Source organism: Homo sapiens, chromosome 5 (genome assembly GCF_000001405.40).
Source record: "Homo sapiens chromosome 5, GRCh38.p14 Primary Assembly".
NCBI classification, from domain to species: domain Eukaryota; kingdom Metazoa; phylum Chordata; class Mammalia; order Primates; family Hominidae; genus Homo; species Homo sapiens.
In genome coordinates, this window is record NC_000005.10 from 152,446,075 (window position 1) to 152,466,381 (window position 20,307).

The window sequence follows — 20,307 nt, forward strand, 5'->3', positions numbered from 1 at the left end:
GTGGAGTTAGAACCAGAGGTTGCCATATTCTATCAGGTATTTGTGTCTTTGGAGCATTTAGAGGGTCCTCAGGGCAAAATAGTGAAAAAGATGAGCCCATTGTAAAATTGCTGTCTGTGAGAAAGATGTACACCCTGATAGAATTACATGTGGTTTGAAACTTTTTAAATTAAATTAAATTAAATAATTTCTTTTTAAGTTCCAGGATACATGTGCAGGATGTGCAGGTTTCTTACATAGGTAAATGTGTGCCCTGGTGGTTTGCCGTGCTATCAACCCATCACCTAGGTATTAAGCCCAACATGCATTAGCTATTTTTCCTAATTCTTTCCCTCCTTACACCTCACCCCCTGACAGGCCCCAGTGTATGTCCATGTATTCTCATTGTTCAGCTCCCACTTACAAGTAAGAATATGTGGAATTTGGTTTTCTGTTCCTGCACTAGTTTGCTGAGGATAATGGCTTTCAAATCCATCCATGTCCCTGCAAAGGACACGATCTCATTCCTTTTTATGGCTGCACAGTATTCCATGGTGTATATATACCACATTTCCAGTCTATCGTTGATGGGCATTTGGATTGATTCCACATCTTTGCTATTGTGAATAGGGCTGCAATGAACATAGGTGTGCATGTATCTTTAAAATAGAATGATTTTTATTCCTTTGGGTATATACCCACTAATGGGATTGCTGGGTCAAATGATATTTCTGTTTCTAGGTCTTTGAGGAATTGCCACACTGTAAGCAAAAATGGACAAATGGAATCTAATTAAACTAAAGAGCTTCTTTCTGCACAGCAAAAGAAACAATCACCAGAGTGAACAGACAACCTACTGAATGGGAGAAAATTTTTGCAATCTATCCATCTGACAAAGGTCTATATGCATAATCTACAAGGAACTTAAAACAAATTTATAAAAACAACAACCCCATTAAAAAGTGGGGAAAAGACATGAACAGACACTTCTCAAAAGAAGACATTTATGTGGCCAACAAACATATGAAAAAAAGTTCAAAATCACTGATCATTAGAGAAATGCAAATCAAAACCACAATGAGATACCATCTCATGCCAGTCAGAATGTCAAATATTAAAAAGTCAAGAAAATTCTGTTTTTATTCTAGAACTGTTTGCCCCTCTTTCTTATATGGAAACTCTTTTCCTGATCTCTCTCTTTCATGGTCCAGTTCACGTCCCAGCCTTTTCACGAAGCTCTTAAAGAAGATCCCAGCTTACCTTTCCTTTATAGGTACTGTGGTAACTTGCACAGGAATATGCAACACAGTAGGTCATAATAAACAAGAATTGGATTGATCAGTCTATAAATCACTAGCTATACTATCAGAAATAAGTGGTATATGTGCTATATATAACATTAAGGTAAATATATAGAGACTTGAAATGAGCATCATAAGCAGTCTTAAAATAGATGGTTAATGTTGACTTTATTTTCTTTGGGAGGCCGAGTCGGGTAAATCACGAGTTCAGGAGTTCGAAACCAGCCTGGCCAACAGGGTGAAACCCCATCTCTACTAAAAATACAAAAAAATTAGCTGGGCATGGTGGCAGTTGCCTGTAATCCCAGCTACTTGGGAAGCTGAGGCTGGAGAGTCGCTTGAACTGGGAGGCGGTGGTTGTAGTGAGCCGAGATTGCGCCACTGCACTCCAGCCTGGGTGACAGCATGAGACTCCGTCTCAAATAAATAAATAAATAAATAAATAAATAAATAAATAAAATAAAATAAAAATAAAAAATATCGATTTTAAGTGAAATGTGTCTATAAAGAAAATTTAGAGGAAAGTGAACAAAGAGAAGGATTATATTGCTGTCTAAATGCCCTTTTCCCCACTGACTACTAAAGCCTACAGTCTGAAAAAGAAAAAAAAATAACTTCACAAACAGAAATGAATGAAACTTTTCTGAACCTCATCAGGAAATGCTGATATCTAGAATCTGCTGTTAGCTAGCATATCATTTAGAGACTGAAAAAGGATACTCTCGGCACAGAAGTGTGGATGGCCAGAAAATTAGGGTTATATAATCAGCTTTGTGTGAGAAAACAGAGTCAGGAAAGCAAGATAATACTTCAAGCAGAAATGAGTCGGATAACAGATTTTGTCTCAAACTCATTTTCTGATCTTACAAAGAATCACTGCATTGACTTAGGTCAGCCCTCTGGGAGAATAATCAAAAATTTCACATGGACCAAATGTATTGTCTCTTCCCTTCTACTGAGAGAATTAGCATAGATATCCTAATATGTCCATTTTCCTTCTTTCTGGGTTTCTTTGTGCTTACATTCAATTTCCTCATCTAGAATATGAAGATGATAACAAGCACCATGTAGGATTTTTCCAGATAATTCAGTGAGATAATGTATGTGGGTGTGGTTTATAAACTATGAATATAAAACACTGTAAAACCATATTCTGCTACTATAGTTTTCTCATTTGATTGGGGATTAAGTAGAATATCTTATACTGGAAAAATTCAGAAAAGAACAAGAAAAAGTATGGTTTATTGAGTAACCTAGTTAGACGTGAATCAGGGGAAGAGAAAACCTATAGTTCAGCATACTTCCTTTTTAATCTACATGAGGTTGATTGTTTTTTTTTTTTAGAAGAGGCCCATCTATTAGAATGTACCATAAAAAAGAAACATGGGATAGCCCTCACTTCCCTTTCCCCTTGCCAAAGACCTGGAGATTCATTTAACACTTTTCTGAGCTCCTACTATATATCAGGAAGTATTTTGGGTGCTGGGAAACAGTGGTGAACAAGACAGATAAGATTTGCACTCTTTTCAGTGGTAATAAAGAATGGATAGAAAAGACAATCAATAAATTAATAAAATGCTATCAAATATTGAAAGGTACTGTAACAAAACAAGCAAAGGGATGTGATGGATGTACACAGGGCTGTAGTGGAAGGTGAGGTTGCCATGAAAATGTGACTCTTAGATCTTCTACCATGAAGAACATCATTGATTGATAGTCCCAGCTTCTGCAGTCTGAAGCCACCACCATGCTCATGCTGAGATCACCCTTCCGCAGAATGCTCCCAGCCAGTGGCTGAACATGACAGGGATACTAAGGCAAGCTCCTTGCTGTGAGATGCAGGACTCCTCCACTCATGACTCTGGCTCAAGGCCTTTCTAAAACGTATCAGAACTACTTCTATGGCCCAGGATGCTTCCTACCCAACTTTCTTTCCTTTCCTCTCTCTTTCATAGGGATCAGACTTACATCACAGTGTGATATTTTCTCCAGCACACTCACAGGCATTTCTTCCAATAAATCTCTTGGCATCTGCTTCTTGAGGACTTTAACTAACTCAGAATTGGTCATTTCAATTTGTGTCAGACAATGTTTCTTGGAGGAGGAGATAATTGATCTGAGATCTGTAGAAATAACATTTCAGGAAGACAGAGCATCAAGTGCAAAGACCTAGCAAAGGCAAGAATATGCTTGGCATGTTCAAGATACAGGAGAAGGCCAATGAGCTGGAATGTGTTGAGTGAGCAGGTGATTTTTGGGAAGGAAATTCAGAGAGAGAAGTCGGGGCCAATCATGTAAGATCATACAGGCTATGGTGACGAAGTTGGATTAAGTATGACAGGAAGCCAGTGGAGCATTTTAAGCAGTCAAATAACATGCTCTGAGAGAGAAGATACTTTCTACAGCTATGCACTCTGCAAACATACAGTATTTTTTGATGAAGAAAACAATGATTTCTGGAAGTGAGTCTTTCTCAGGCAGATCCTGCATCTGCCTGTGTCTTAGCCACCACAACCTCTCCTTCCTTTGTCTCTCTGGGACAGGGAAAGAAAAAGGTAAGTTTTGATCCAGATGACTAGGAGAGTTGAGAAAAGCCAACCACAGTGACTTTACCCAAAGGATTTTTATTGTTGATATTCTTCTTGACATCAAGTTTGGGGAAATAATTTCAAATTGGTCAGTGTGTCTATTATTAGAAAGTCTTTAACTCCATCTATATAATTTCTTATTGGGTCTGGGTTTTATTCAACAATACCCCATCTCTCTTCATGTTTGTCTATGATGAAATTTTAGATCTTTGTTCTTCTCTTATATATTCTGGCTGCGTGCAGTACTTTTCGATCCTCATCACATTTGTCCAGCACAGGACTTCTGGATTGTCTATAGCTGTTTTCTTTACACAAGAAATTCTTGCATTATGTTCAACAAATGCAGTTGAATATCAGTCACTTAATGCTGACTGACATTGCTCCCATATTGTTGAGAACATGCTCACATGTGTAGACTTCTCGTTATTGCAATAAGGCAGATGCCCATGCGGAACACCAATAGTATGATGTGTGGGGCATATCTGGAGGGTAAGCTCTCTTGAGCTATTTTTTTTCTTGTTTAATGGGAGTGACAACTCAGTCCATAGTAAATTATTTATTAAACCGCTATCATGGGCCAACCTCTGAACTAGGTGATGGGGATACAGTGGTGGTGACCTGCATGTACAGAGCTCCTACTCATGAATGTTCATGTTTGGTTGAAAGGAAAGGTTGTGGAATAAGGGAAGAAATAAGATGGCCTAAGCTTGCAGTCTGGATCCAGTACTTCATAGCTATAGTACCTTGGGAAAAATCACTCTCTTTCATCCTGAGGTTCCTCCTCAGTTAAACAGGGATACTAATAACTCCTCTGCCTTCCACTCAGGGTGATTACAAGAATCTCATAAAGTAATAAGAAATTATAACCGTGTAATATTCAGATTTTCTTTTTTTGTTTCAGATGCTCTTGTTTTGCTTCTTGTTTCTTGTTTGATTCTTTGTTTTAGATTTGTTTGTTTTTAGACAAGCTTTTTTTTTTTTAATTTTACTTTAAGTTCTGGGATACATGTGCTGAACGTGTAGGTTCGTTACATAGGTATAGATGTGCCACGGTGATTTGCTGCACCTATCGACCCGTAATCTAGGGTTTAAGCCCTGCATGCATTAGGTATTTGTCCTACATTCCCTCTCCATTCCCCCACCCCCAACAGGCCCACTGTGTGATGTTCCCCTCCCTGTGTCTGTGTGTTCTCATCGTTCAACTCCCACTTATGAGTGTGAATATGCAGTGTTTGGTTTTCTGTTCCTGTGTTAGTTTGCTGAGGATGATGGTTTCCAGCTTCATCCATGTCCCTGCAAAGGACATAAACTCATTCTTTTTTATGGCTGCATAGTATTCCATGGTGTATATGTGCCATATTTTCTTTATCCAGTCTATCATTGATGTGCATTTGGGTTGGTTCCAAGTCTTTGGTATTATAAGAAGTGCTGCAATAAACATATGTGTGCATGTGTCTCTGTAGTAGAATTATTTATAGTCCTTAAGGTATATACCCAGTAATGGGATTGCTGGGTAATTCAACCATTGTGGAAGACAAACTTACATTTTAAGGGCAGTTTTTGATTGACAGGGAAATTGAGAAGGTAGTACAGAGTTCCCATATACTCCTGCATAGTTTCCCCTGTTGTTAACATCTTACATTAGTATGGTAGATTTGTTATAATTAATGAACATATATCGACACACTATTATTAACTACAGTTCCTACTTTAATCATATGTTCTCAGTCTTTCCCTAATGTTCCTTTTCTGCCCCAGAATCCCACCCAGGGTGCCACGTTGTATATAGTTGTCATGTCTCCATAGGCATCTCTTGGCTGTGAACAATGCTCAGACTTTCTGGGTTTTTAATAATCTTGAGAGTTTTGAGGAGTACTGATCAAGCATATTATAGTATGCTCCTCTATTGGAATTTGTCTGATTGATGTTTTTTCATGATTAGACTAGGGTTATGGGACTTTTGGAGGAAGATCACAGATGTAAAGTGCCATTTTTATCACATCACATTTGGGCTACGCACTATCAACATGATTTATGACTATCGATGTTGCCCTTGATCACCTGGCAGAGGTAGAGGTTTTCCAGTTTCTCCACTATAAAACCCCTCACCCCCTATAGTTCTACACTGTAGTCTCGGGAAGAAAGTCATGATGTGAAGCCTACACTGTAGAAGTGGGGAGTTGTGCTCTGTGTCTTTGAGGGCAGAGTATCTACATCAATTATTTGGAATTTTTCTGTATGGGAGGTTTGTCCCTTCTCCCCCACTTATTTATTTATTCAATCATCTTTTTATATCACTATAGACTTGTGGATATTTATTTTGTACTTTGGGCTATATTCCAATACTACTTTATTTTGTTGCTCAAGTAGTTTCAGCTTTGATTATTGATTGGCTGTTGTGTCCTTTGGCATACTTCAATCACTGTGACCTTCCTTTCTTCCTTCCCTCTCTTCCTTCCCCTCCCTTATTTCTGGTACTACAAGATGCTCCATGCTCATCTTACATATCTCCTACCTCAATCCTAGAATCCATTGTTTCTTCTGTGGGCCGTGGTTCTTTTTATTAGAGAATGGTGTTGGAAACTAAGATCTGTATTTTTTTTTAATTGGAGAAGGGCATTGGAAACCAAGATCTGAGTACAAGGTATGTTTCTTGATACTGGAGTCTCCCTGCTTCTCAGCCCTTTTATCTGACAGACCAAGGAAATGTATGTGAGTATATATTAATATGGATATATATTGATAGGGTTTGGCTCTGTGTCCACACCCAAATCTCATCTCAAATTGTAATCCCCATGTGTCAAAGGAGGGACCTGGTGAGAGGTGATTGGATCATAAGGCCGGTTTCCCATGCTGTTCTTGTGATAGCGAGTTCTCACAAGATCTGATGGTTTAAAAGTGTTTGGCAGCTCCGCCTTCTGCCCCCCATTCCCCTCTCCCCTTCTCTCGTTCCTGCCACTGTGTAAGATGTTTCTTGCTTCTCCTTCACCTTCTACAATGATTGTAAGTTTCCTAAGGCCTCCCCAGCCATGCAGAACTGTAAGTCAAGTAAACCTTTTTCCTTTATAAATTATCCAATCCTAGATAAGTTCTTTATAGCAATGTGAAAATGGACTAATACATATAATCATACCTATAAATATTTCTGTATCTATCCATCTGTATCTATTTTAGGCTAAAATTCTTCATACTGATGTCTTCAATTTGAATCCATTATCATGTGGATGATTCTAGCATCTCGTCCTTTCTCGTGATCCCTGCTTTTGCTTATCTGCAGCTTCCCACTCCAACAGTGAGAAATCTTGATCTCACCATCTACCATTTACTTACCTAATTGTCTAATTCTAGTATGCATGTATAGCAGTGTCAATATTGTTAGCCCATACACTATGGGGACAACTTTATCGCTAGAGTACAAGGCTTATGTACAGTTTCTTTGTTTTTAGTTTTACAGATTACAATTGTTTCCAAAGTTACTTAGATTATTTCCCCACCATCCTCTTCAGTGAAGATGTTTCATATATTTGTAATACAGTTAGATTGTTTTGTCACATTCTGTATTCCATCCTGGGATTCCCCCAATTTCCTGAATGACTTTTCAGTGTGCACTCATTAAAATACTCTTTTTGTGTTGTAAAGCTCAACAGGTTTTGGCAGTTGCATAGTGTCATGCACTTGCAATTACAATATCACACAGAAGAGTCGCACTTTTCTAAAAATTTACTTGTACTTCCTCTATTCAGCTTCTCCAACCCTGTGCCCCTTGCATCTAGACTTTTAAAATTGTCTCCATAGTTCTACCTTCATCAGAATGTCATTTAAAGGGAATCATACAGTATGTAGCCTTTCAGTATGGCTTCTTTCACTCAGTGATATGCATTTAGGATTTACCTATGTCTTTGTGTGGCTTGATAGGCGATTTTAAAATCACTGAATCACATTTCCTTGTATGGAATATACCAGTATTTTATCCATTCACTTAGCAATGGACATTTTGATTGCTTCCAGTTTTTGAATAGCATGAATGAAGCTGCTATAAATATTTATGTGCAGGTTTTTTTGTGTGGCACTTTAGTTTTTAAGGCATTTCTGAAATCATTTTTTTCAATTTGATTTTCAGGACACTTGAGGGTAGAGTAAATGAAGTGAATCATGCCCCTGTTATACGTTGGAAAGATACTTTAAGAAGAGGCTCTTGCCTCAGTTTTCACAGCTGGTAAAGGGAAGAGCTGAGACTTGAAGGTTTATCTTCTTACCCTAAATGTCACATTCCTCTCATACATTATTCTGGATCTCAATAAATTATTTGAGAAAATAATTGAAAACCCTTATATACTATCCAAATAATTGTAATTTTATTAAACCAGATCTTCTCAATTTTCCTTGTCTTTGTCACTACACTCATCCTCACATACAAAGAAAAGACAGGGAAAGTGTAACCTACTGTAATATAAATGAAAGGAGAAAAAAAGAGGCCACCTCTCCTCCTTGCTACTTCTCATTTTTTTGCTTTACTTAGAAAATGCTAAGGCACCTCTTCTTTATATTTTGTAATTACCTTTTGTCTTTACTTTCAACCATTTTGTATGATGTATTAAATATACTTAAAATTAAAATTAATAATCATCATAATAGGTAGCAATTGAGTGTTTACCATGTACTAGACACAGGGCTGGGCATTTCATTTATATAACTTCATTTATTCCTCACAACAACCCTCAGGGGTAGCTTCTATTGTTATCCTCATTTTACAGTTGAGGAAACTAGGGTTTAGGAGAAATTATGTAACTTGCCCAGGAACCAATAATAAGAGGTAGGAATGGATCTCAGGATCTGTTCGGGTATTATTTTTCTCCATCTTATTAGGTATTTCCAGAGATGCATTACCTTCTAAAGCGGAGTGGTCTTTTTAGTGCAAACTTGATATTGAGGATTTGGGAGAAGGAAAGTGTAGTTACAGCTATGCCACCTTGTGTCGGGGCAAACCAGACAAGTGTGTCTTGTAAACACAGCTACTGAACAAAAGAAATTGAACCTAAGGAAACAGGCAATAGTATTCCCCCTGGTGACACCATCTAATAAGAACAGCAGCTGCTCTGGGGCACTGACCCCTTATGTTGAAGTGATAATACAGCAATTAGCTCTTTCCTCATTTTCCCAAGTTAACCCAAGGGTAAAATGGCACACTGAGCAAATATACCAAATTACATTAAACTTAGTTATCAATTTGAAAATCTTAGATGCTGGCTGCACAGAGATTAACAGGTTCTAGCAATTTTTTTTTTTTTTTTTTGCTTATACTCCACTCTCACCCCCAGCGAAAAACCTCAGCCATAGCTGGTTGTTTTTGTCAGATGCAATATAGCTTTCGGCAGGCAACTCTATATTGGCTCTGCCTGGTTTCCAGAGAGAACTCTTGGCATGAGATAGTGGACTAAATCATACGCAGTAACCAACAAATACATCTTGGGAAGAATATTTGCATAGCACTGGGCACAGTGTTGAGAATGAGGATGATATTTTTTCTAGAGAAAAATCCATATGCCTTGGGGACCCTAATCTAGTCAGCATCACTGGCATTATGGAAGCAGCATTGGTCAGGAAGACAGAAGGGGATCCTAGTATTTTGCTACCACCTATAGAAACTCATCTGGCTTTCAATTCAATGGTGATGAGCGAGCCCCAGAACTTGCCAGGTGTTTCTATTATGTAGCTCTGTTGATAAAGGCAAATCAGAGAAAATGAGGTCTGGGGCTGTTCAAGTCACATTTATATGTTTGACAAATGTTCACTAACACCTTACCATGTACTTGGCACTGTGCTAGGTTCTGGGTTCATGAGGAGAAATATGACACTTTTTTTTTTTTTCTTGAGACAAGGTCTCACTCTGTTTCCCAGGTTGGAGTGCAGTGGCACAACTATGGCTCACTGCAGCTTCCACCTTCCAGGCCCAAGCAATCTTCCCACCTCAGCTTCCAGAGTAGCTGGGACCACAGGTGTGTGCCACATACCGGGCTAATTTTTAATTTTTTTGTACAGATAGGGTCTTCCTAGGTTGTCCAGGCTGGTCCCAAACTCCTGGACTCAAGCGATCCTCCTGCCTTGGCCTCCCAGAGTGCTGGGATTACAGACATGAGCCACTGTGTCCGGCCATGACACAATTCTTAACCTCAGGAAAATCACAGTATGGGGAGACAGACATGCATATAAAGATGTGTAAAGCAGTATCATGGCTTAAAAAACGAGTGTCAAGTCAATGTACAGAAACATTCCTTCATGATGATCTCCCAGCTACAGAAGACTACAAATGAAAGAGAGTATCAGTGAGCAGCTGGGAGACAGTCAGGTCCTTTTCTGAATGCAAAGTTGCCAAAGAGTGAAGCTGGCCTATTCCAAAGCAAAGAGATTTAGCTTCCCCAAGAATGAGATGACAGGCAATGAAGCCATGTGTGTCTAAACTGTGCCACTGTGTCTTCCCTCACAGTACCTAGACAGGTGATGCGATCTCAGCTGAGGGTCTGGGCAAGGGTGTGGGACTTCTAATGATCACCTCAAGCTGCACTCACATTTGATACTGGGACAATGGAGTGAGTGCCCATCTTCAAATAGATCAGATGAACTTGGACAATCTGCGGCGTCATGGCAGTTGTAATAGATGGAAGCCTCCTGATATCCCCTCTATTTTTCTGGTATTATGTAAGTCCCCCATTCCCTGCCATCCCCTCAATAAATAGGTGATTTCAGGGAGGCGGTGCAAAATGTGACAGTTTCCATCCTGGCATTTGAGAGTTTGAAGTGAAATTTAAACGTTATATTAAATTTAAATGTAAATATTGAGTTGAAAAAAATAAGAATATAACTTTAAAAATAACAAGCTCTTTGTTTTGGAATAATTTTAGATTTGCTGAAAAGTTATAAAACTGGTACAGGGATTCCCCATATCCCCTCACTTAAGTTTGTATCACCTGTTTCAGTTTCCACTAATGTCATCACTTTCTATTATTGCATACGTTTGTCAAAACTAAGAAACCAATACTGACACATTACCATTAACTCTAGCCTTTATTTAGATATCACTAATTTTTCCATGGATGTCCTTTTGCTGTTCTGGGAACCAATCCAGAATACCACATTTAGTCATCATGTCTTCTTAGTCTCCTCTGTGATCTGTGACAAGTTTCTTAGTCTTCCCTTATCTTTCACGACCTTGACAGTTTTGAGAAGTAATGGTCAGGTATTTTATAGAATGTTCCTCAGATTGGGTTTGTCTCAGCTTTCTCTCATGACTAGACTGAGGTTATAGGTTTTTGAAAAGAATACCATAGGGGTCAAGTGCCCTTTCGATTACATCATATCCAGTGTACATAATATCACTGTTAATAACCTTGAGTAATTTGTTTAGATAATGTTGGCCAGGTTTCTCTACTATAAAGGTGCTATTTTTCCCTTCTCATACTCTATACTTTGGAAGCAATTCACTAAGTCCAACCACACTTAAAAGGTTGGGGAGAAATTAAGCTTTGCCTTCTGGAGAGGGTAGTTTCTATGTATAGTTGGAATTCTTTTGTAAGGAAGATTTGTCTCTTCTATTTATTTATTCAACCACTTATTTATATCATTTTGATCTCATTTATATGAAGTGTATATTTTGTGTTATGATCTAGTACACTGTTATTTATTTTGTTGCATAACTTTTTTCCAACTTTGGTCATTGGGAGCTTCATTAGTTTAGCTCTTGTGTCCCATTGTCGTGCCTCCATTGATTTATTTTTTCAAAATTTCCCAACATCCTGGTAATGCCAAATGCTCCAGAATTAACTTATAGATTTTGCCTGCTATAAGCCCTAAAATTAGCCACTTCTCCAAGAAGCTTGGATTTCCCTCTTGGATGGCAGTATTTCTTTTTAATTTTTTAATTTTTAATTTTCATGGGTACATAGTCAGTATATATATTTATAGGATACATCAGACGTTTTGATATAGGCATGCAAGGTGAAATAGGCATATCATGGAGAATGATATCCATTCTCCATTGGATATCCATTCCCTCAAGCATTTATCCTTTGTGTTACAAATGATCCAATTACACTCTTTTAGTTATTTTTAGATGTACGATTAAGTTATTATTGACTATAGTCACCCTGTTGTGCTATCAAATATGGAGGTTGGTATTTTGAAACCAAGGCTTGGGCACTGGGAGTGATCGTTGCTAATGGGGTGTCATTATCTTAAAGCCCTCTCAGCAGACAGAGAGAGGTAAGATGTATGTATACTAACCTATGATTTCATATTTAACTATAATTGTTTCTATATCTATCCATCTCTATATGCATGTTAAGCTAAATATGGGTTCATATTGATGTCTCTAATCAAGTACCACCGTGTTATTGTAGCCTTCTATTCTTACTTATCTACAACTTTCCTCTCTGGTGATGAGAAACCTGGCACCTACCACCACCTTCTATTTACTTATTTGTTCAACTCCAGTATATATGTAAAACAGTTTCAGAATTGTTCATCTTCACCTTCATGTTAAACAACTTTACCAACTAGGGTATAGTGTTTATCTACAGTTCCTATTTTTTAATCTTACAGTTTCCAGTCTAAACACCATTTTCCAAAGTTTCTTAGGCCAGCTACCTTTCCCCTATCCCCTGTAGTACAGTTACATCATACATTTGTAATACAGTGACATTCTTTGTTCTCAGCTTGCACTTTATCTTGGGATCTCCCAACATTCTGGTTGATTATTTTTATTTTATAGTTTATATGCATTAATGTTCTTTCTTTGTAATGTAAAGTTCTATGGATTTTGACAAATGCATGGAATCATATTGTCCACCACTCCAGTACCATGTAGATCATTTCTATCATCCTCAAAGTTCCCCTGAAAGATATAGTTATTTAACATTTCATACAACTTAATATAAAATAAATTTATCAGATCTTCCCAAGGCAGGTGCTATGCATTGGCTCACTCTCTACCTTTCCAGTCCCTCCCTAGTCCATCACCTCTTTGTACTAAACCACTCCTTTATCCACCATTCCCTAGAAACCACTGATCTGTTTTTCATTCCTGTAGTCTTGCGTTTTCCAGACTGTCATATGGATGAAAACATAAAATATGCTTTGGGGTTTGACTTCTTTTACTTAGCAAAATGCCTTTAAGATTTATCCCCGTTGTTGAAAGATTCAATGAGCAATTTACTAGTAGATGGAAGACTTAGGATTTTTTTTTTCTTTGTTTCTGGTACCATGTAAGAATACCCCCATTCTCACCCAGCACTTTAATAAATACATGATTTTAGGGAGGAACTCTAAAATGTGACTAATTTTTAATTTTTTGCCACCCTGGCAAGTGAGGGTTTTAAATTATATTTAAAATTATCTTGATTATATAATAAGGCAGTAAATTAATATTTTATGCAAATTAATATAAAATTTATCAGATCTTCCTGAGGCAGACACTGTATGCTGCCTCACTCTAAACTTATCTGATCCCTTCCTATCTCAATCTCTCTTTTTTGTCATCTTTTTAACAAAGAGACTGGATGTCTTTATGTATATAAAATCCATTCCTCTTTTGCAGCTAAGTATGGCCAGTAATGTAGTTCTTCCCCTTTACTTGTTTACACATCTTCCTTTACGTTTCTTCCTACCTGAAATATAAACTGGCTGATGGAGATCCTGGCTCAATGCTCAACAATTATTTTGAGACAATGAAGACAAAAGGAGGAATAGAAAGATAGAAGGAGCCTAGTTCTTTCATGTCATTGTTCTGTTGTTGTGAAAGCCCTGAGTAACGTATCCCAGCTTTGTTTGCATGAGATAAATAATCTTCTATGATTTAAGGTACTATTGTCACGTTTTTTATCACTCAAAATCCAACACAATCATAGCTGATGCATACTACAATAGCATTATATGCAAGGTACTCTGGCATGTTACAGAAGTGAATGATGATGACTGGAAATTTAGTGAAATAATTATTTCTATTTAATTAACAATTTTGAGCCATTATTAATTGAAAAATACTGCCCCAAACTTTCTGCAGATATAAAAATAACTTAAAAGTACTTTTTGCCATGAAGAAGCTTATGATATGATATAGACAATGCAGTATATACTCAAGAGAGTCCTGGACTTAGAGTTAAGATCTGGTTTCAACATATGCCTTATAATTAGACATGCAACATACCTTTATTTGTGCATTTACTGCTGCTGTTTATTAATAAGTTATTTATTAAATTGTTTATTATGATACATTATTTATTAAATATCAGGCACCCTGTGCTAAGACCTTTTCCTAATTACATTCATAACTATAAAGTAAGACCTAAGGTCATCCCCCATATTGTGGCAAATTGAGGCACAGAGCAATAAATGAATATTCACAATCACATGACTAGTAAATGGCAGAGCTGGAATTCAAACCTGGGGCTGTTCACCTCCAACCTTTTTGACTTTCAACGTCCTCCTCTGTAAAGTGGCTTTTGATGTATCAGTCCTTCCTGCCTCAGAGAGTTTTGTTCAGGACTGAAAAGAAAATGAAATTGGGGATTTAAATAATCTTTTCAGCCATAAAATGCTGTTGAATTCTAGTGTTACTCCCATACCTGGCACATGGAATATACTATCAAGTCAATTTAAATGAACAGGGGGAATAAACAGACATATGTGTGACCAGTTAACTCTAAATCAAGATAGACTGTGAAAAGTGGAACAAAATGCAGAGAGAAACAGAAGGAAAAAAAAGATGAATTTTAAGGTTGGGGATCTGGGAAAACTTTATAGAGTTGATGGCAACTCAATTGCATCTTCAAAGATGGCTGGAACTTTGAGCATCTGTGAGAATCACTAAGTGAGCACCAGGTATCTGTCACAAGTCCTCACCTCCAGCTACATCAGAGTTACAATGACAGGAGCCACAACTCATTCCTCTTTCCATCGTTCACTGTTCACAGCACAGGCCTTGGGCATAGTGTGTTCTGATGCTGCTTTAGTTGGATTACTTTCATTAGGGAAGCTTTTGTCTGGCAAAAGTTTTTAGTTTCTTAAGGACAAATTGGTAATAGTTAACTTTCTTAACTTAGAAACTTCTTAAGCATATCTCCTAGAATCTCAGGAGCAAAGTCTCCCAGTCAGTGCAAACCCTACAGGGACTTGAAAAAACATTTTGTCAAGTGCTGTTTTTCCCAGAACAAAATGTGGAGGAATGTCATCTTCAAAACGGAAAATAAATGTCAAGTTTAGGCTCATTTATGATAGCTGTTTTGTGTTAGAACTTTTGTCTAAACGGCATCCAAATACATGGAGAGAATGGAAAAATCCATAGAACTGGATGGTTCAATTCACTCCTTCATCCATTTTGCAAAAAGTTATGAAGTGCCTACTATGTGGCAGATACTAATATAGGGAGTGGGGATATAGCAGTAAAAGAACAAAGTCTTGGTGGCAGGGCACATGATTATCAAATATCTACATATTTTTCTTTTCTCCATCCTCCCTCATCCCCACCCTACAAAGGCTCTTTGCAGATCACATCCAGTCTTCCAGTACAATTAGCTTTTTGGGGGGAGTAAGGGTCATCATTCTCTATATCTGAATATCCTGTCATGCTTAGTATTGCTGTGTGTGTGTGTGTGTGCGTGTGCGTGTGTGTGTGTGTATGTATATAGGACAGGAGCAGCGAGAAAGAAGCATGAGGAAGTGAATAGAAAATGGGCTTTGGAGTCAGAGCAAAGGTAGTATTAGATCCAAACTTTAACAACACTGACCTGACAAATACTTATGAGTAGCTACTATGTGCTAGGTACAGAAGTTATAAATGTGAACAAGACAGACTTGGCTCCTTCTTTCACACAGTTCATACTCTACTGAGCAGAAACAGAAAATTAAATGAGTAGCTTAGCTCTGTTCCTCTGAGAAACAGGCATCAAGAGATTTTTCAGAGAACATGCTTGCAAAGGGAAATGGAGAGGGAGCCGGAGGGGGCTGGGAGAGCCATTAGACCACAATGCATGTCTGGCCCCTGTGGAGGAGGGAAAGAAGTAAGGAACATATGTAGGAAAAATCTCCTGTGCAAGTCTCATAAAGTTTTGACAAAGATAAAGAGAGTCTTCCAGCCTAGCCAGCAATCTGAAGAATCTCACATCTACCAGGAATGGACTGGCCTTAGCATTCCCCTGGGCTCAGTCATAGGCTGGGAGCAGCTGGTGAAGATATGGCTTCAGTGCTCAGGCCATTGAATTGTGCCCCCTCCTTCAGAGACCGGAGAGGTGAATTTTCCTGGCCACCATAACAAAATGCATTGAGTGTCATGATAGGGAAGTACAACGTGCTATGAGAACACAAAGCAGAAGCACCACAGGCTTCCCCAAAGAAGTCGCATCTCTCTCTAGTGGGGGCAAAGAAGGGAAAGCATTTCAGGGAGAGAGAATGATATGAGAGACAGCATGTATGGAATCGCTAAAAGAAATAAAAGAAATGCAGTCTGATTTGAACAAAGCATGCAAGGGCAGTGGGAGTGGGCAAAAGAGAGAGAGGAGTTGTGAGAAGTGAAACTGGAAAGGTAATCAGGTGTAAAACCTTAGCCTTGTGAGATGCATAAGCAGTTTAGATTTCATATCAAGGGCAATGAGAGACATTTTGAGGGTGAAATGGGGGTTGTGGGAAGACAGTGGGAGTTGAGTATCATGATTCTGTTTGCACTTTCAAAACCCCACTCTGTGGCCCTGTGGAGAGTAAATTGGTTGACAGTAACACTGGAAAACTAGAGAGTTAAGAGACTCAAAATACCTCCCATTTATGATAATTTGAGCCTTCAGTAGAGATAGAAATGGCAGATTGCTAACTTAATGAAGGTAGTAAAGTAGAGAAAGAAACCAAAGAGGACACTCAGATTTCCATCTTCTTACCATGCAACTTCAAAGAATTGTTTAAGCTCTTTGAACTTTGGTTCCTGGTTTGAAAAATGAAAGCAATAACATCTACTTCACAGGATTGTTTCGAGGCCAAATTAAATAATGTACATAAAGTACCTAACAAAGGGCTTAGCTTATAAATGGTATAATAATTCCCCTCTGACTTCCTCTGTATGTAGCGAGGATTTAAGGTATGTCCCTATTAGAGACTCAAGGTAACTGTAGAGCAAGTTAGGCTTTCTCTCTCTGATTCATCTCTGTCTGTTCCCCAAATCTCTTTAAGATTTTTACATTGCATGTGAATAAATGAAACTTTAACTCAACAATCTTAATGCAATAAATAATTTTATTAATTCTTCTGACAGAAAATCTATACCCATTGAAAGAAAGATTCAGAATAAGTAATAACCAATACCAAGCTAGGCAAATACTTTTCTCGGATGAGGGGTGGTGGTGTTTGTCTCTTTTTGCTTCTCTGTCTCTTTTTAAGTCTTAAGCTGATTGACTCAATAAAAGAAGAAATATCGGGAATTTATTTATACTAGGAGACTTCCTGACTGCCCCTTGCTCCATGGATCTCCTGAACTACCCTCCCCTGTCTGCTTCTTGAATGTTTGTGAAGTCCTCCTTTATCCAAGGACAGCCGGTATCAGCCTCAGGATTTTTCTTCAGGCATCTCAAGAGAAAGAGCCTTCCCTTGGGGCAGGAAGCCCAGCACACTTCTCACTGCTGGTACAATGTCTTTTCTCACAGCTGTGGACCCCGTTTAGGGTGGTGTCCCCAGGAAAATCTAAGCTTGATCTCAGAATATCTGAAACCTTTTGTACTGGACCTGAGGTTACTAAAACAAGATGAGGGTTATTACACTTTATTGTGCACCAGAAACACCTGAGAGGCTTGTTAAACTACAGATACCTGAGCCCCAACCCAGGTATTCTGAATTAGTATCTTCTAGGGTGGGTCTGAACAATCTACATTTTTAAGGAAAATATTCTAGATTTTTGCTTCTATCGTGTAGTGCTCAGACCAGCAACATCGGACATCGCCTGGGAACTGTTAAAAATGCAGCATCTCAGGCCCCACCCCAGGCCCACTGAATTAATCTGAATTTTTAACAAGTTCCCCAAGTAATTAGTTTCACATTAAAGGTTTTAGAAACACTGTTCTAGATCAGTGGTCCAGTGGGAAAGATTTTTCCCCCAACCCCCACCATTCAGGACAGTATCTGGAGATATTTTTTGTTGTAACTGGAAAGGCGGTCCTGGCACCTAAGTAGTTGGAAGCCAGGGATGCTGCTAAACATCCTGCAATCCACAGGACAACCCCCACAACAAAGGGGTATCAGGCCAAAAATGTCAGCAGTGCTGATACTGAGAAACCCTGGGCTAGACGATTGTAATGAAGGCGGTAGATTTATCTGGGGAATCAGCCATCTTCAAAGGCTTAGAGGTAACAGCTACTCATCTAAGAGTTAATCTGAAAGCTCACAAGCAGGCTTTACATTCTCAAACTAGCGGTAAGATGGTGGACTCTGAGGCCCAGGTGCCTAACTTTGAATCCCAGATCTGCCACTTGAATGCTATGTAATCTTAGGCACCTGTGGAAATCAACAAAGATCAACCCAACGAGAACAAGCAAAGGCTTTTTATTCAAAGCTTGCTATAGCAAGGGAGTCAACCACCATTTGTGTTTGGCAGACTCAAAGGCAGAGGAGTGATAAAGCTTTATAGTAGAAAAAAGAAAAGGCTTGTTTGGAGACTACTGGAGAAGCTGGAGGGTGGCTACCTAGAAATCAGGCAGCCTCTGAGATTGGTGAGGAAGCTTATTTCACTTTCTCTGGCTGGTCCTAAGTTGGAAATAGGGACCAAAATTCATGGACTCAATTCAACTCTAGGTCATTCGTCAAGTCCTGGCTATTTGGGGGCTGATTGTTACAGAAGATATTGTTTAGCTTTCCTAGATTTTTACTAAAGATAGCAGTCAGACTTCCTACAAGCCTGACTTACAGCAGGCTGGTTCTCTGGGCTGGTCAATGTAGATAAGCAAAGTTGGTTTTCTGGGCAGGTTGCTGCAGCTTGTGGGCCAAAGTTCCATATTATATATAGTACTGCCTTTGTCTGTTTTTACATTTCTTTAGGCCTTCATGTTTCTCCATCTATGAAGTGGTTATTATAATAGGGTTATAGTAAAGATGAAATGAGTTAACTCATGTAGAGCTCTTAGAATCTCATCCAACAAGAAATGAGGCCTGAGTAAATGTTCCCCACCATCATTTTCTATGGCTGTCTCTGGGATCACTCTTGGGCTGTGACCTTATGCAGCTTCACTGGAGGGGTCTGGGTATCACCCAGACCACAGATCTGTATGAGTTTAGGAACAGTGCTTGCAAGCCAGGTGGTTGTCAGGACACACTTCAATATTTTTAGCTGCAGGGAGGGAACATTACTAGGATATGGGAGTCATTATTCTGATCAGAAATCAGGGATTTGAGTCAGAGGCCATCTGGTTTTAATTACTTATAACTGTGTGACCTCAGGCAAGTAGCAGTCACTCTAGACCTCTTTTATAAAGCAGGGATGATATTAGCATCCACTGGTGAAGGTGAATTAAATGATGCATATTAAGCACCCTAAACAGCACATGGCAAAGAAAAAGTACTCTCTAAAAGTCAACTTTATTATTGTTAAAGCGTTGACACAGCCAGGAGACAAGGCTACTCTTGTCCTAGGAACAGAAGCCTCCCATGAATCAGAAGGGGTTGCCCTCCAGGGTTAGTTGTCATGCTAGGTCTTTTTCTTTAATATTTGGCAATTCAGCTCACATGCACTAGGAACACCCAGAGCATTTATCACGGAACAGAATCCGCGTAAGGGAAGCTTGGAAATTTGCATTTCAACTACTCTCAGGTAATTCTTATATACACCTGGTCTTTGAAAACCCACGCTGCCATATCCCATCATTCCATTAGGGTGCATGGTGTTTCCCTGAAGCAATCCCCAGCCCTCGCCACACCTGCTGTAAGTGACCTGGAAACTCACAGCCCACCTTCTCCCCTTACAGTCGAGATGGGGAAGATGCATTCTGAGGTCTCTACCAAGAACTCCTGGCCTGAGACTGGTGCGTCCTCTCCTAGTGTGTGGGTAAGAAATGGTCCATCTTGTTCTGGGCTCTCTGACGCTGAGGTCTGACCAAGACAGCCCAACCACCTTTGGCAGGCATGAGGAATTGTGTTGAAGGTCTCTAGGTGCAGACTCAATCTGCAGTGGGAAGTGTTAAGTGAACAGAATTATAGAAATTTTTCTAATTGCCTGTGTCTTTCAGACACACAAACAGGTCTAGAGTACAAGGTCATCTGCTATTAATAAGCACAGAGATTACTGCAACCAGTGGCCTCTCTTGGACTTTGCTGAGAGAGTGAAGTACTCAGGGATTGTCTGAGTCTGACCTCCCTAAAATGGAAACATGTCAACTCCACTCTAGGGGCACAGGCAGCACCGGTGAACCTGGACCCAAGGA

At 39.0% G+C, this 20,307-nt stretch overlaps 15 annotated features.

Annotated features, from left to right (window-relative positions):
• Nucleotides 181–350: an enhancer, noted in NCBI's record as "experimental_82661 CRE fragment used in MPRA reporter constructs". NCBI's record gives its function as "activates a minimal promoter by MPRAs in K562 erythroleukemia cells, with activity observed for both the introgressed and non-introgressed 5:151825901 variant alleles {active_cell/tissue: K562}" and the evidence as "EXISTENCE:reporter gene assay evidence [ECO:0000049][PMID:34662402]".
• Nucleotides 1,992–2,161: an enhancer, noted in NCBI's record as "experimental_82666 CRE fragment used in MPRA reporter constructs". NCBI's record gives its function as "activates a minimal promoter by MPRAs in K562 erythroleukemia cells, with activity observed for the introgressed 5:151827712 variant allele {active_cell/tissue: K562}" and the evidence as "EXISTENCE:reporter gene assay evidence [ECO:0000049][PMID:34662402]".
• Nucleotides 2,711–2,880: an enhancer, noted in NCBI's record as "experimental_82670/82671 CRE fragment used in MPRA reporter constructs". NCBI's record gives its function as "activates a minimal promoter by MPRAs in K562 erythroleukemia cells, with activity observed for both the introgressed and non-introgressed 5:151828431 or rs72793415 variant alleles {active_cell/tissue: K562}" and the evidence as "EXISTENCE:reporter gene assay evidence [ECO:0000049][PMID:34662402]".
• Nucleotide 2,796: a transcriptional cis regulatory region, noted in NCBI's record as "Neanderthal adaptively introgressed variant 5:151828431 (GRCh37/hg19 assembly coordinates) or rs72793415 in the experimental_82670/82671 CRE". NCBI's record gives its function as "modulates activity of the experimental_82670/82671 enhancer by MPRAs in K562 erythroleukemia cells {active_cell/tissue: K562}" and the evidence as "EXISTENCE:reporter gene assay evidence [ECO:0000049][PMID:34662402]".
• Nucleotides 3,880–4,049: an enhancer, noted in NCBI's record as "experimental_82672 CRE fragment used in MPRA reporter constructs". NCBI's record gives its function as "activates a minimal promoter by MPRAs in K562 erythroleukemia cells, with activity observed for both the introgressed and non-introgressed 5:151829600 variant alleles {active_cell/tissue: K562}" and the evidence as "EXISTENCE:reporter gene assay evidence [ECO:0000049][PMID:34662402]".
• Nucleotides 9,102–9,271: an enhancer, noted in NCBI's record as "experimental_82684 CRE fragment used in MPRA reporter constructs". NCBI's record gives its function as "activates a minimal promoter by MPRAs in K562 erythroleukemia cells, with activity observed for the non-introgressed 5:151834822 variant allele {active_cell/tissue: K562}" and the evidence as "EXISTENCE:reporter gene assay evidence [ECO:0000049][PMID:34662402]".
• Nucleotides 10,611–10,780: an enhancer, noted in NCBI's record as "experimental_82696 CRE fragment used in MPRA reporter constructs". NCBI's record gives its function as "activates a minimal promoter by MPRAs in K562 erythroleukemia cells, with activity observed for both the introgressed and non-introgressed 5:151836331 variant alleles {active_cell/tissue: K562}" and the evidence as "EXISTENCE:reporter gene assay evidence [ECO:0000049][PMID:34662402]".
• Nucleotides 10,611–10,913: a biological region, named in NCBI's record as "Neanderthal introgressed variant-containing enhancers experimental_82696 and experimental_82697".
• Nucleotides 10,744–10,913: an enhancer, noted in NCBI's record as "experimental_82697 CRE fragment used in MPRA reporter constructs". NCBI's record gives its function as "activates a minimal promoter by MPRAs in K562 erythroleukemia cells, with activity observed for the introgressed 5:151836464 variant allele {active_cell/tissue: K562}" and the evidence as "EXISTENCE:reporter gene assay evidence [ECO:0000049][PMID:34662402]".
• Nucleotides 16,163–16,332: an enhancer, noted in NCBI's record as "experimental_82718 CRE fragment used in MPRA reporter constructs". NCBI's record gives its function as "activates a minimal promoter by MPRAs in K562 erythroleukemia cells, with activity observed for both the introgressed and non-introgressed 5:151841883 variant alleles {active_cell/tissue: K562}" and the evidence as "EXISTENCE:reporter gene assay evidence [ECO:0000049][PMID:34662402]".
• Nucleotides 16,163–16,347: a biological region, named in NCBI's record as "Neanderthal introgressed variant-containing enhancers experimental_82718 and experimental_82721/82722".
• Nucleotides 16,178–16,347: an enhancer, noted in NCBI's record as "experimental_82721/82722 CRE fragment used in MPRA reporter constructs". NCBI's record gives its function as "activates a minimal promoter by MPRAs in K562 erythroleukemia cells, with activity observed for the introgressed 5:151841898 or rs4958306 variant allele {active_cell/tissue: K562}" and the evidence as "EXISTENCE:reporter gene assay evidence [ECO:0000049][PMID:34662402]".
• Nucleotide 16,263: a transcriptional cis regulatory region, noted in NCBI's record as "Neanderthal adaptively introgressed variant 5:151841898 (GRCh37/hg19 assembly coordinates) or rs4958306 in the experimental_82721/82722 CRE". NCBI's record gives its function as "modulates activity of the experimental_82721/82722 enhancer by MPRAs in K562 erythroleukemia cells {active_cell/tissue: K562}" and the evidence as "EXISTENCE:reporter gene assay evidence [ECO:0000049][PMID:34662402]".
• Nucleotides 17,384–17,553: an enhancer, noted in NCBI's record as "experimental_82727 CRE fragment used in MPRA reporter constructs". NCBI's record gives its function as "activates a minimal promoter by MPRAs in K562 erythroleukemia cells, with activity observed for the introgressed 5:151843104 variant allele {active_cell/tissue: K562}" and the evidence as "EXISTENCE:reporter gene assay evidence [ECO:0000049][PMID:34662402]".
• Nucleotides 19,622–19,791: an enhancer, noted in NCBI's record as "experimental_82735 CRE fragment used in MPRA reporter constructs". NCBI's record gives its function as "activates a minimal promoter by MPRAs in K562 erythroleukemia cells, with activity observed for both the introgressed and non-introgressed 5:151845342 variant alleles {active_cell/tissue: K562}" and the evidence as "EXISTENCE:reporter gene assay evidence [ECO:0000049][PMID:34662402]".